At 42.0% G+C, this 15,131-nt stretch overlaps 1 protein-coding gene across 15 annotated transcripts in view; it reads right to left on the bottom strand.

Annotated features, from left to right (window-relative positions):
• The window catches only part of MRRF (mitochondrial ribosome recycling factor), a 66,456-nt gene that overhangs the window by 23,763 nt on the left and 27,562 nt on the right, over positions 1-15,131 (bottom strand). For 3 of the 15 annotated variants that reach the window (XR_007061373.1, XR_007061372.1, XR_007061374.1), the window contains one exon: positions 1,698-1,787. The exons of the other annotated variants lie outside the window; for them this stretch is intronic. The gene's annotated coding sequence lies outside the window, so the exon portion shown is untranslated. The remainder of the gene's footprint in view (positions 1-1,697; positions 1,788-15,131) is intronic. 15 annotated transcript variants of the gene reach the window in all.

Here is a 15,131-nt window from a genome sequence, read left to right as displayed (position 1 = left end):
CAACAAAGGATAGCTGAGTAAATTATTCTTACTACAGAATCTCCAGGACTTCTCTCCTGGGGAGAATAGGATGCGAGTGGTGAGAGAGAAAATGGTCACAAAGGATTTAGCCACTTGGTGCTTAGGCAACTGAGCAGATAGTGAGCAGAGAGAAACAGAATGGGAACAGAGGAGAGCAGAAGGCAATGGGGAAAGCAGGGGACAGGAATTCTGCTCCAGCAGCTGTGGGGAGCAGGCTAAGGGAGAAGGAAGCTGCACTTTCAAGGAATGGCCTATCAAGATACATTCCTGACATTGCCACTGACAGAAACCTTGCCACCTCCTCCCTGGGCTTCCGGGACTCCCCCCTACAGGAGCATGGGCCTGAAATCAGCAGCACCACGTTCCTGCTTCACTGTTTGCCAGTGGGAGCTGCCCCATGCCTTGGGGCTGCCGGTCCTGACGGAAATGTTTTTGTTTGTGTAGCCCAGCCAGATTTCCTATGCTTCTAGGGACACCACCCTCGCCTCATCCCACTAGCCTGTTTTACGTACATTAATGTCTCATAAAGACATTAGATCTTCTGTAGGTGTCCCTTTAGCCCAAGGAAATCATACATTTTGGAAGGACTTCTAATACCAGTAGTAATTTTGGTTCTCTCTGGGGACACAACTGGGCACCTGCTTTCAAAGGACCATTCTGTGACTGATGCCTGGTTAAACCAGACATACCATTCTGAAATACAGCCCAGCCTGACCAAATGAGAAAGGAGGTTAAGGTCGGGGTCACAGCTCCACATTCCCAGCTGAGTGGTCTTAAGTCACTTGTCTTCTCTTTCCCTGTCGCCACAGAAGGATGGAAACCCAAGTTTTGGGGTGAGTAGACATAACTCTTGCCTCAGCTCCATCATACATGCGAAAAAGCACAAGTTTGGTGGTCAAAGCAAACCTGATTTCCAATTCCAGCTCTGACACTTACAAGTTGAGTACCTGTGGACTTTAATTTTTCCTCTCTGAACGCAAGGTTGTCAGGTGAAGCACTTAAGAGAACGGGCTCTGAAGTCAGACTGTTGGGGCTTGAGGTCCAGATCTATCAGTTTTTAGCTTTGTGGCCCTGGGCAAGTTATTTCACCTCTGCCTCAGTTTTTCCATCTGTCAAATGTGTATAATACCATTTACTTCACTGTTCTCCTCTGTTCCCATTCGGTCCCTCTTACAACAACTTAATTATTGTGAGGATTAAACAAGCTAATAAATGTGCTGGTACATGGGATGTACTCAATACACATTATCTGTTATTTCCTCAACTGTCAAGTGCAGGGGGATGAGGGAGGCCATACAGGATTTTTCCACAGTGTTATGAGCAAATGAGAGAAGACAGCTGAAGAACTTTGCATATATAGGTAATAAACTATTTTAAGTTATCAATAATATTATTAATAAAAGTAATTGTGATGTTTCCTACTGGGGGAGAACACAGCATAGTGGCTACAAGCCCAGGCTCTGGAGAAAGACAGCCTGTTCTTTTACTTATTAACTGTGTAACACTGGGCACAAAAAAACCCATTCCTCTGTGACTTAGTTACCTCATCTGTAAGATAGAGATAACATACTGATCTCAAAAGTTGTTACGAGTATATTAGCTAATACATAAATGGCACCTGGAACAACAGTTGGCACAATGTTCCAGAAACAATGATTACATTATTGCATACTTACTACATGCTAGGCTCTGTTTGAGGGCCTAGGAATACAGCAATGAACAAAACTGACAAAGCTCTTCCTCTCTCCTCTCAAAGCACTCACATTCTAGTGAAAGAGAGACAGACACAGTAAACAATTAAGTAGATAAAGTGACACAAAGTGTATGAAGAAAATAAAGCAAGAGAAGAAGATAAGGAGAGACCAAATTATTATCACAGCAAGGCCCACTTATATTTGCCCAGCCACCTGACCCCAGTGTCATCTGCTCCCCTTCAGTACTAATAATAATGATAACTGCTACAGAGCCATTTCCCTGTATCAAGCTCTGAGCTGATGCATTCTCCATGCATTAGCTCAGTAAATCTTCATAACATTCCTATGACATTAGTGGTATTAGTACCTGGATTTTACAGATTAGAAAGTGGACAGCCTGGACAACATGGTGAGACCCCATCGTTACAATTTTTTTTTTTTTTTTTTTTGAGATGAGTCTCAGTCTGTCTCCCAGGCTGGAGTGTAGTGGCATAATCTCGGCTCACTGCAAACCTCTGCCTCCCAGGTTCAAGTGATTCTCCTGCCTCAGCCTCCTGAGTAGCTGGGACTATAGGCACGTGCCACCACACCAGGCTAATTTTTGTATTTTTAGTAGAGATGGGGTTTCGCTATGTTGGCCAGGCTGGTCTCGAACTCCTGACCTCTGGTGATCCACCTGCCTCAGCATCCCAAGATGCTGGGATTACAAGTGTGAGAGAGAGTGCCCAGCTACAAAGGTTTTTTTAAAAAATTAGCTGGGCATAGTGGGGCATGCCTGTATTCCCAGCTACTTGAAAGGCTGAGGCCGGAAGATCCTTGAGCCCAGGAATTCGAAGTGGCAGTGAGCTATGATCATGCCACTGCACCCCAGCCCGGGTAACAAAGCAAGACCCTGTCTGGAAAAAAAAAAAAGTGGGAAGTGGGGGTTCAGACAGATCAAGTAACCTGCCCAAGGTCACACAACAAGTTCTTGGCAGACACAGGATTTGAGTCCAGTATAGCCTGACTCCTAAATTCCAGGCCTTCTGCTCTATTTCCTCTCTTGTTGGTGCTAGACAAATCTAGCAACTATTCTTACCAGTGGTGGTAATAACAGTACTACTCTCACATTAAGACCGGCTTAGATATATAATTCATGCTACTCCCCAACACGTCCAAGAGCAGTAAGGAGAAAGAAGAGAGGGAATTTATGGAGGAATGCAATGGAATAGTGATCTGATCTGTGGTAGTCAACCGGTAGGTACCATAAATAGGTGCATGATACAAGGCATGGAGAAGAGAGGAGGGGCAGAGACAAGAGTAGCCTGTCCTTTTGGGTGCAATTTTTGCATAAGTGTTGGTGGCAACTTGCTCTTCAGCCTATCCTACGCTTTCGATTCTTGACTGAACATCCTTGTGTGTTTCAATTGGTACATCTACGCTGGGAAGGAGCCCCATTCCACACACTTGGGACCTGCAATAGCAAGATGCACTCCTAAAAAGCCACAGGCCAGGTGGGAAGCAACACTGAGCAGAAGACAGGTGTTCAAAAACTGCATGAAGGCTTACCCAGGCCTGGAAAGTAGAAAGAAACAGTGTACTGGAACAAACCAGGAGAATGAATGACTCTGCAAATGCAGCAATGGCAAGCAGGCAGTGGGAATAAAAAGGCTAAAGAAGCAGCTGCAGTTGCTCAAATGCAGTTTGTGGCTGCCCCAGCCCAAGTCAGGTCATGAGGCATTCATCTTTGAGAGTTTTTTTCTTTCAATATCCCTAAAGGGTGTGTGTGTGTGTGTGTGTGTGTGTGTGTGTGTGTGTTAGAAAAGGGTATTACCAGTATTTCCTGGAATGTACAAACTACAGACACTACTCTGTGTGTGTGTGTGTGATGTAGAAAAGGGTATTACCAGTACTTCCTGGAATGTACAAACTATAGACACTACTCTGTAACAAGATCCACAAGGCAATATAGCAGCTAGCACAGGCAGGCCACTGAAAGGAAGTAGGTTTCACGTCGGCAGCCCAAGGAGCAAATGTGATTACATGGCAAGAGCCCGGGCTTTGGAAACAGACAGATTCAAGTTTGAATAACGGCTCCTTCACTTACTAATCTATGACCATGAGCAAGTTACTTAAACTTTCGGATCCCTAGTTTCCTCCTCTGTATTAAATCCATCTCAAAAGGGCATTTCTAGGCAGCCAAAAGAACAATGCGATCACCATGAAAATACGTACACAACTTTCGGAAGCTGAGGTGAGGATTGCTTGAGCCCAGGAGCTCAAGAAAAACCTGGGAAACACTGTGGGACCTCATCTCTACAAAAAATTTAAAAATTAGCCAGGCTTGGTGGCTCATGCCTGTAGTCCCAGCTACTCAGGAGGCTGAGTGGGAGGATCGCTTGAGCCCAGGAGGTTAGGGCCACTAATTGTGATTGTGCCACTGTACTCGAGCCTGAGTGACAAAGTAAAAGCCTGTCTCAAAAAGATAAAATTAAAAAGTACACAAGATATTAAGTCAAAGGGGGAAAAAAACAAGTTGTGGTATTGTAGACATTTCATCCCACTTATGTAAACTAAATATATATATATATATAATATATTTATTTAGGTTTGCATATTCATCTTTTGAAATCTGGAAGGATATACTGACAATGGTTACTTCTGGGAAGAACAACTGGGGAACAATAAATGAACTTTTCGTTATACTTCTGTAGGATCTGAATTTTTGGGATAAACTTATGTTATTTTTGCAATTAAAAAAGATGAAAGCCATGTATCTGATAAGAGTCTAATATCCAGAATATATAAAGAAATCATGTAACACAAGAACAAACAATCCAATTATAAAATGGGCAAAGGACTTGAATAGACATTTTTCTACAGAAGATATACAAATGGCCAACAAGCACATGAAAAGAGCTTAGCACCATCAGTCATCAGGAAAATGCAAATCAAAACCGTAATAAGATACCACTCCACAGCCTCTAGGATGATAATCATAACAAGTGTTGGCAAAGGAATGGAGAAACTGAAATCCTCATATATTGCTAGTGGGAATTTAAAATGTGCAGTCCTTGTGGAAGTTTGGAAGTTCCTCAAAAAGTTAAACATGGAGTTACCATATGACCCAGCAATTAACTGGTCATAAACCACTCCTAGGTTTATATCCAAGAGAATTAAAAGCATGTTCACACAAAAAACTTGCACAATAATGTTCATAGCAGTGGTATTCATTTAACAGCCCCAAAGTAGAAAAAACCCAAATGGCCATCAACTGAGGAAGTGATATATAAAATGTGGTATAGCCATATAATAGAATATTATTTGGCAATAAGAAAGAATGAAGTACTGACACGTGCTACAACGTGAAAGAACCTTGAAAACATTATGCAAATAGAAAGAAGCCAGTCACAAAAGACCACATATCGTGTGACTCCACTTACATAAAATATTCAGAACTAGGAAACCCACAGAGATAGAAAAGTGGATTAGTAATAGCCTACAGCAATCCCTAGGAGAAGGTTCTGCGGTCAAAGTCAGGAGTGACTGCTGGTGGGTAGAGTGTCTTTTTGGGGTGATGAAGAAAATGTCCTAAAATGGATTGTGGTTATAACTGGTTGCACACCTCTATGACTATACAGTACTAAAAACCATTGAGTTGTACACTTTCAATGGGTGAATTATATTTCAATGAAGGTGACAAAAATGCCATATGCCTATCTAGTTCTCAACATTGAACAATACTTGTATCCTAGGTAGAAAGCTTGATGACAGGCAGCACGCCTCACGGCAGTAGAGACAGACAATACTCCCCCATAACAGTTAATAATCACCATGCAGGCCAGGCATGGTCTTATGCCTGTAATCCCAGCATTTTGGGAGGCCAAGGCAGGTGGATCACGTGAGGCCAGGAGTTCAAGAGCAGCCTAGGCAACATGGTGAAACCCCGTCTCTACTAAAAATACAAAAAAAAAAAAAAATTAGCCGGGTGTGGTGGTGCATGTCTGTAGTCCCAGCTACTCAGGAGGCTGAGGCAGGAGGATCACTTGAACCTGGGAGGTGGAGGTTGCAGTGAGCCGAGATCATGCCACTGCACTCCAGCCTGGGCAACAGAGAGAGACTGTATCTCAAAAAGAAAAAAAAAAAAATCACCATGCAGAAAAGTCATAGAATACTCAGTAACAATGGCTAACCTGATCATGACAACTTAAAAAATAGTATTAACTCTCATTTACTGAATTTCTTTCCTTTCTTCACTGGTGTCAGACCTATACTGCTGTCCGAAGGTTATCCCTGTCTACTCCTGTTCTCTTCTCCCCTCTATCCTTCACAGGAGCTTCTCCCAACAAATCTTCACAAAAGTAAATATTCTATGATCCCATTTTTAGGTGAGGAAACCAAGGGTCAGAGAGTTGAAATAAGTAGCCTAAAAGCACAAAGCTCTTTCTACTGGTTTTCTTTTTAGAGTTTTTCTGACTGCCACCTTGGCTCCTGCAGCTGTCAACTGCAGCTCTCCCTAGCTACACAGCTTCCCCTCCACATTTACCTCAGCCTGGGGACCACCCTGCTCTGCCTTACCCAGCTTGCTCTCCCTGGAAAAACCTGGTTATCATTCGTGAGAAACTGCACATCAGCATATGAGGGACGGCGGGGTGGAGGGAATAAACACGTGAGAAAGAATTTAGGCTGAGGAACTATAACTCAAGGCTTTTTTACTGTTATCCAGGACACTCCCTGGTCTCAGTGGCATTCTCCTTCCTATCATCAACTTGGAACAAAGTCTGGGGGAAAGAGCCTAGTCTAGCCATAAAGTCTATCATCCCCAAAAATGCCCAGAGGAAAATGACGATAGCAATTATCTAACGATCTTGAAGCTTTAGGAAGCGGTTCAGTGGGCTGAGAGTGCCAAGGACAGCCAAGGCTTCTTGCCTTTTTCAGGAACGTAAAGAAATTCTCATGCCATAGGCAGGACTAGTCACTAGATTTTCTTATTTGGGATATGCCTTCCAGGAGGTCTTGCTCACACATAACTCATATTCAAAGAACAAACCAAGTGCTTATTAACAATCAAACTACAGTATGCCCAAGCAAGTTAAATTCCAAGATACTTCCAATATAATCACTCAACTCCTCCCATCTGTAAAAATGCAGGAAAAGATAGGGGAAAAAAAGAACATGGGGCTTCAGGAAGGGGGTTAGTGAGGAAGAGAAGGAAGGAGGGCATTAAGGATTAAAAGAGAAATCAGCAAACAGAAATAAAATATTACTTATTAGTTTTACTCCCAAATAATCAGGAAAAGGACATTTCCAAGAACTCCTTAACCAGGAGGATTAGATAATAACAAATACTCTAAGATAAAGGAATTAAAATTTAAGTACCTATGATATGCCAGGCTTCACACTATGAGCTTCACATATAATATCCTATTACTCTTCAAAACCATAAATACTACTCCAGTTTTACAGATAAGGAGGCTGAAGCTTCAAAAAATTAAGCAACTTGCCCAAGTTCACTGCAGTGGGCATGAAGGTATGCTGCTCAGATCACCCTCCAGGAGAACCTGCTGTGAGGGGTACAGATGCCTGACAGCTTCCAGCCCCCACACCTTGATCCACTGTGACATTCCTGCTGAGATCACATTGAGGCCACATCCACTGTGCTTCTCCCAGTCAATGACCACACATGGCAGAGGTACTAAAGCCAGGTTCTTATGCCCAAATGGGGCTGCTGTAGGGGCAATCTTTGCTCAGGAACGCCCCATCAGCCTGGCTGCACTGCAGTGTGAGTCTCCCTCCCCACAACCCTCTTCCTTCCCTTTCTCCACCAGTATCACACCTGCACTAGGTCTACTCCTGCTCCCTCTCCCCTTTGTCTTTCCCAGACATCTGCTGCACATCTAATTCCATCCTGGCATCTGCTTCTCAGAAGACCCAAGCTGACATACCCACAGTGACAGAACAGGAATTTGAAGCCAGGTCTGTCTAACCCCAAAGCCCATCAATCTCTGTCTAACCACAGAGACAGATTAATTGATCAATAAAATTATGTTGCTAAGTCCAATAATCTCAGATCTTACCTTCTTTGACCCCATCACTCCCTCCCCTCTTTGAGATACTTTCTTCACTTGGTTTCCAGGACCCTATACTTTCCTAGTTCTCCTCCTACCTCACTGGCCACCTGTTCTCAGTCTTCTTTGCTGGTTCTTCCTCATCTCTCTGATCCCCAAACCTTGAAGTGTCCAAGGCTTAGTCCCCAAACCTCTTCTTTTCATTATCTATATTTAATCTCTAAAGTAATCTCATCTAATTTCGTGGCCTCCTTTATAAGTTCCTGATTCCCAAATTTATCTCTCTAGCCCACATCTGTCCTCTGAACTTCAGGTCCATATATCCAACAGCCTACTTGACCTCTCCAATTAGATGTCCAGGAGCACCTGAAAATAAACATGGACAAAATCTTCTCTTCCGCCAGGTGCAATGGCTCATGCCTGTAATCCCAGCACTTTGGGAGGCTGAAATGGGTGGATCACTTGAGGTCAGGAGTTCGAGACCAGCCTGGCCAACATGGTGAAATCCCATCTCTACTAAAAATCCCAGCCTTCTGAGTAGCTGGGATTACAGGCACATGCCACCATGCCTGGGTAATTTTTGTAGTGGAGACAGGGTTTCACCATGTTGACCAGGCTGGTCTCAAACTCTTGACCTCAAGTGATCCACCCACGTCAGCCTCTCAAAATGCTGGGATTACAGGTATGAGCCACTGCACCTGGCCCTCATCTTCTATTTCTCTTTCCTCACTCACTCTGCTACAGGCACATGGCCCTCTTGCTGTTCCTTGAACATCCCAGGTAGACTCCCACCTCAGGGCCTTTGCACTTCTTGCTTCCTCTGCCTCAGTGCTGGATATAGGCATGGTTTGTTCTTGTACATCCCTCAATTCTCTGCAAGTATCACCTTCCTCTGAATACTTCATGAACATCTACTTAATATTGAACCACCACTATCCCCACCTTCACAGCATGCTTTATTTCCTTTTACTGCCTTATTTTTCTCTACAGAGAGAAAAATATGACCATCCGACACATACAAACTATATGTGTGTGTTGTTAACCATCTCCCCAGTAAATGTTCCATTAAGGGCAAAGGTTTTGTCTGGCTTATTCACTACTTTATCATCAGTGTCTAACACTATGCTTGGCATATAATAGGTATTCAATAAATGTCTGTTGAGTAAATTTACGAATGTCCTAGAAGTTTTACATTTCAGCATAAAAACTCTATATCCTCATAAAAGCAGACAAGTGGTTGTCCGGGACCAGAGGAAGAGGATTGAAGACCGACATGCAAAGGGGCAGAGGATAACTTTTTGGGGTGACTGAACTACTCTGTGTTGATTGGGGTAGTAGTCACAGGGACACATATATCTGTCAAAAGCCATCATCACATATACTTGAAATTGATTCATTTTATTGCATATAAGTTATACCTTGATAAAGTTGAGTAAAAATAAATAAATACCCTGTATTCCAGACTGCCTCTTGAACCAAAAAGTGGCAGACAAGTTCACTGTGAGATTAGGCATCCTGACTTGAGCTTTGTAAATTATGTTCCACATAGTTTGGGTTATTATATAATTAAACTTAAAAATGCCAATTGCTGTCCTTTGCTACAAAAACGAAGAAGCAAACACAAAACAAAAACAGAAAGTACTCTCAGAAGTCCATGGATGCAAGAATACAGACTTACAAGTAAAACAGACCCAAGTTTGAATCCTGCTCAACTCTACCTTTACTAGCTAAATGAACCCAAGCAAGTTACCTAACAACTCGGGCTGACTTTGCTCATGTATAAAAAATAGGGAACAGAGTGAGTTCAATCATAGAGTATAGAGCCTAGAATACAGTATGCACTCAGTAAACAGTCACTTTCCTTAATATTATTATTGCCGTACAGTGAGCCAGGGGAGGCATTAAAATACCAATCGGGTTTCCTAAAAGAACCACATCAAGTTTGGGTCTAAGTACCAACAGAGGGGTCACTTGGGTGTGTTGCAGATGGTTTTCTGGCCCTGAAATGTCCATGTCTCTAAGAAGCGCAGTACTATGCAGTGATGTTGCAAACAAGCACTCAATCAAGGGCAAGAGCCACAGCATCCCCCACATTCTGCATTCACTTCTTTCCCAATTACGGTCCCCATGCCACCACTTCCCACTCCCAGCAGAACAGGAAGTAGGCCTTAGAAAATCATTGAGACATGGTTAGCAAAAGAGAAAAAATTTAAACTAAGATACTTGACACTTGGGAACTGGTTAATGTAAGTGTAAAATGCCAATAGTACACCTTTAGAAAAAGAGTGAGGAAGAATTCTCATAACAGAGAGCAATGGCACACTGTTAAGTTTTTTTTTTTAGGTACAGAACACTATGTATAGTATAATCCCATATCATTACAAGAAAAATGAAGGAGATACCAGACATATGCTTGACTTTGCATTGGAAAAAATCTAGAAAATCAAGGTACTAAAAGTGGTTCCCTAAGGAGAAAAGGATGGAGGCATTTTCTCTTTTTTTTTGAGATGGAGTCTCACTTGGTCGCCCAGGTTGGGGTGCAATGGCACGATCTCGGCTCACTGCAACCTCCACCTCCCGGGTTCAAGCGATTCACCTCAGCTTCCTGAGTAGCTGGGATTACAGGCGCACGCCACCATGCCCAGCTAATTTTTGTATTTTTAGTAGAGATGGGGTTTCATCATGTTGGTCAGGCTGGTCTTGAACTTCTGACCTTGTGATCTGCCTGCCTCGGCCTCCCAAAGTGCTGGGATTACAGGTGTAAGCCACTGTGCTTAGCCTCATTTAAATATTTTATGTAATTTTATTTAAAATAAAACCAACAGAGACGCTGATGAAGGAATCGGAAGACAATCAAGGAAAGATGCAAACTTGGTGAGGAATGAGTCAATCATCTGTAGTTTTGTTTCCTGGGTGAATTCATAGTTTCCTTATAGCATTATTTAAAGCCAGGCATGAACTCAGCAATCTCAAACCAAAGCACCACTATTCTACTTAGTGTGGTTTTCCCATAGACATTTGGTAAAACAATGAGTAAGGGAGTGTATTCTTATTTGTTTATTTGCTTGGGGGCATAATGATGATGTGAATAAGGTGGAGGCAGAAACCTGGCCTGAACAAAATGAACCCCTGATCAAAACTTTTCAGGGCCCCTGATTAAGGAGTGAAAAGACTGATATTCCAGATAAATCTTCTATCAGGAGACAGGAACAGGAAGAAAGGCAGTGACAAAGACCCCAATTCTAACCCTGCTTCTGCCACTTACTAGCTATCTGATATTGGGCATCAACTTCTATGAGCTTCAGGACTCTCATCAGTCAAATGAGCCTAAAATAGTCTCTTCACCACATAGTGTTGTAAGAATTTGGGGAGAAATTGTAAAGTGTTCAGCTCAACACTTCCAGGCATTATACCTCTAGTTTAGGTGGTTGATAAATGGTACCTAAAATGTAATTACATGAATTGGAAAAATAGAAGAAACTATTTCAGTATATCTCCATTAACAGGAATGTCCCAAAAAAACCAATCCAGTTGACTAACTTATCTAAATAAAAATCACTGCCAGAGAAGCAAACAAAAGCTATCCACATTGTCAGTGGGAAAAGATATAATCCAGAGCCCCTAAGACTCAATGGTTATTTACCTGAGGAGACAGCCACGATAAAAAAAAAACTCGCAAACAGCCACGCAGAGCTGAGTCTCAGAGGCTGTAAAAAGAGGTCTTGATGATAAGGACCACTCAGGCTCCAAGCCTGGCCTGTTACTGATTTAGGATTTATCTTTTACCTACTTCCCCAAAAGATCAGAGGCAGATTATAGTTAAGAGTCACATACTCAGTAGACTCATTTAAATAAGAATATAAGAATCAGAGGAATGTAATGAGGGTGAGGTAATAGGTGAGATCTGCTTCAATTGAAAATAAAATTTAGTTCTGGGTATCCAGAGTTAAGGCAAAAAAGCAAACCTATAGACTATCATTAGGCAGTGGAAGAATCAGGATCAATCAGAGGAGGCAAATTTTCCTAGAACTAAACTCAAACTTTTATAATCAGAAACTGATCTAAGGGGCCAGGCGCAGTGGCTTACAACTGTAATCCCAGCACTTTGGGTGGCCGAAGTGGGCAGATCACTTGAGGTCAAGAGTTCGAGACCAGCCTGGCTAACATGGTGAAATCCCGTCTCTACTAAAAATACAAAAATTAGCCAGACGTGGTGGCGGGCGCCTGTAATCCCAGCTACCTGGGAGGCTGAGGCAGGAGAATTGCTTGAACCTGGGAGGCGCAGGCTGCAGTGAGCTGGGATCGCACCACTGCACTCCAGCCTGGGCTACACAGTAAGACTCCATCTCAAAAAAAAAAAAAAAGGAAACTGATCTTAAGAATGTATGCTTCCTATTTCCCCTACCCCTCAAAGTCCCAACTTAAGATATGATGTGTTATTTTCCTCCTCACCGCTTTGTCAATTACCAGCTGTGTGACCCAGAACCAATGCCTCACCTCTCTGAATCTCATTTTCTTCATCCCTAAAAAGGAATGATGCTCCTATTTGTGAAAGGGGATGATGGAAATAGCATATTTGCTAGCATTAATTGGGTGCTTACTAAGCATCAAAAGCTTCATGTACATTATCTCACTGAAATCTCCCAATAAGCATATATGGCAAGTCCTGTAAATTATCATTTCACAGATGAGCTGCCTGAGATTCACAGAGGCAGAGACAGGTGCCACTGTCACACAGCTAAAAAGCAGGAAATGTTGGAACTCAATTTCATGCTTACGTGACACCAACGCAAAATTTAACCATTATACTTTTCTGCTTTCCTGAATATGTAAGGCACCTAACCATTCCTGGCACATAGTAGGTGCTCGACCTATTAGTTCCCTTCTTCCCTCCATCCTTTTCTCCTAAAATTATATAATATGTAGAAAATTAAAAGTTTACTGAAGTAATATCTTATGTTTATATAGTTTAAGGAAATCATACCACTTAATTTATTTTCTCTATTAATCTCACCACATCTCTGCTTATCATTATGCACTAACCTATTTTACAAATAAGGAACTAGAAGGCAGCAAGCAACTAGGGCGCTGTGCCCAGAGTCATATGGAAGTCACTGCTAAAACCAAATAAAAACCTCGATCCTCTTACTTATAAATCAACCTTTATCCTCTCACGTAACACAGCCTCTATAATAAAGAACAGATCATTCATTTTTTATCTGGAAAACTACCAAACGTTATAATTCAGTAAGGGGCCTCATGACCCCACCACCTTGTCAAAGGGAAGAAAGTATATAAAAAAATGAGGTTTGCAGGAGCAGACGGTTTTGGTCCATCAACTTTCTCTTGGATTACACCCATTAACCAAAATAAAATAATGTAAAAAATAATGTAACAGATCCTCTTATCTTTGGAAATTCGAGTTAAACTCACTGATCTTTCAAACTTACATACAATGCACCGACAGTGATCATTTACTCTTGCGGGGCTGCAGAAATGCATGTTATGTCAACCAGATCTTTGAAAGAAAAATGTGATACACAACTGAGTCACCCTAAGAAGAATCCAAATCAGCAATGAGCATTTAGTAGCACAAATTCATAGCCCCACAGTATTTTGGAGCTTCAGAAACGACCTGGCAGGCCACTAAGAACAACCCCTTCATCTGACATGTGAGGAAGCCAAGGCTCAGGGAGGTTAAGTGACTGTCCAAGGTTTCACAAACAGGACAGCAAAAACTAGAAAATAAGCCTGCTGACTACTATCTATTACTCTTGTAAATCTTGCTTCTAACGTCCATGTGTACATTTAGCACTTTCCAGAATTATGCATCTACACAGAAAATGCAGGAGAAAGGTAACAGAAAAACTCAGGCTTCAAATCCTGACTGCCATTTACTGGTCATGTGATCTCGGGCAAGTCCCTTAATTTCTCTGAACTTCACATTTTTCATCTATAAATGTGGGCCCTAGTAATTTCCACAAGTAAGTTGGAGGCAATACAAACAAGAGGCCTGGCACACAGCCTGTGAGCTCCATGAAGGCATACATCACGTCTATACATCCCCAGCACAGAGCCTGGCACATACGCATTCTCAGAACATTCACTAAGCAAATCAATGAACTTGCCAAACAAACTTGAACTATCTGGTTCAAGCAGAAAGACTTGAACCTAGGTCTATCTGCTTCTTAAACGTTAGGTTATATTGTTCCCAATTCACATGATTTCAAAGCAGAGTGTTACTTCAGCCTCACAGAGTACTGAGAACACAATGGAACAAGACAGCTATTTTCTGGCCACGAGGCAGGAAAAAGTTCAGTGTGGAAAGTTTCTGGACTCCCGTGTTGGGATTGATTCTTGTTGTCTGCATGGGTATGGGTACATCATGAGGCTTTGTTATCAACTAAACCTGGGTTTGGGTCCCAGCTTCAGCACAAGCTGTGTGGCTTCAAAGACATGAGCCTAAATTTCCACAACTAGGAAAAAACCTACTTTACAGGGATTAGACAAATGAGGTAATATATGTAAAGGAATACAGGATAATGTGTGGCACTAAAAGACACTCAACTAGTGTTCAACTCCATTTCCCTTTTAGTTATCTGGAAGCTTTGTTCATTAGGTCTTTGTTCAAATGTCCCTTTCTTCATGACCCTCCCTATCCATAATAAAAGCCCCAAATCTCCCTATCCCCTTACTTTGCTTGTTTTTCTTCATTGTCCTTACTATCACTTGACATTCCATTACGTACTTATTTACTGTGCCTATGCAACTATCAGGGAAGCCCGAGGAAGAGAGGGACTTTTTGTTGTTTGTTTTGTTTACTGCTATATTCCAACAACTAAGAAAGTATCTGGCATGTCATTAGTACTTAATAAATATTTGTTGAAAGACTGAACGAGTTAATTCAACACTTATTTGGGCCTTGCTATATATGAGGCACTGTGTAGGAATAGGGATTTAAATCTTTTGCTGTGGAATCGGAGAAGATGTGTCTCACCTGGACTGCTGCAGGTGCCTCCTGACTGTTCCCCTTGTGTCCACTTTGTACCCCTATAGTCCATTTGTTAAACCAGCAGTCAGAGAGACCCTCACATAGTCAACATCAGATCAGGTCATTCCCCTGCTTAAATCCTTCCACTGACTTCCCATCACAGTGAGAATAAAGCCCACTCACCATGACTTATAATGCCTAAACCATCAGCCTCTACTGACTAGTCCAACCTCCTCTCCTACCACCCTCTCCCTGCATTTCACACACACTGGCTTTTTTCTTTCTCAAAAAGGTCAAGGTCTTATATTTTCTCTTCTTTTTTTAAATTTAAAAATGAACATTTTTATTCACTTAAAACTTTAAGTTCTATATATTTAT

The sequence above is a fragment of the Homo sapiens genome, chromosome 9 (assembly GCF_000001405.40).
Source record: "Homo sapiens chromosome 9, GRCh38.p14 Primary Assembly".
Lineage (NCBI taxonomy): Eukaryota > Metazoa > Chordata > Mammalia > Primates > Hominidae > Homo > Homo sapiens.
The sequence above is the reverse complement of the archived record's forward strand: the minus strand, read 5'-3'. Positions and strand labels throughout refer to the sequence as shown.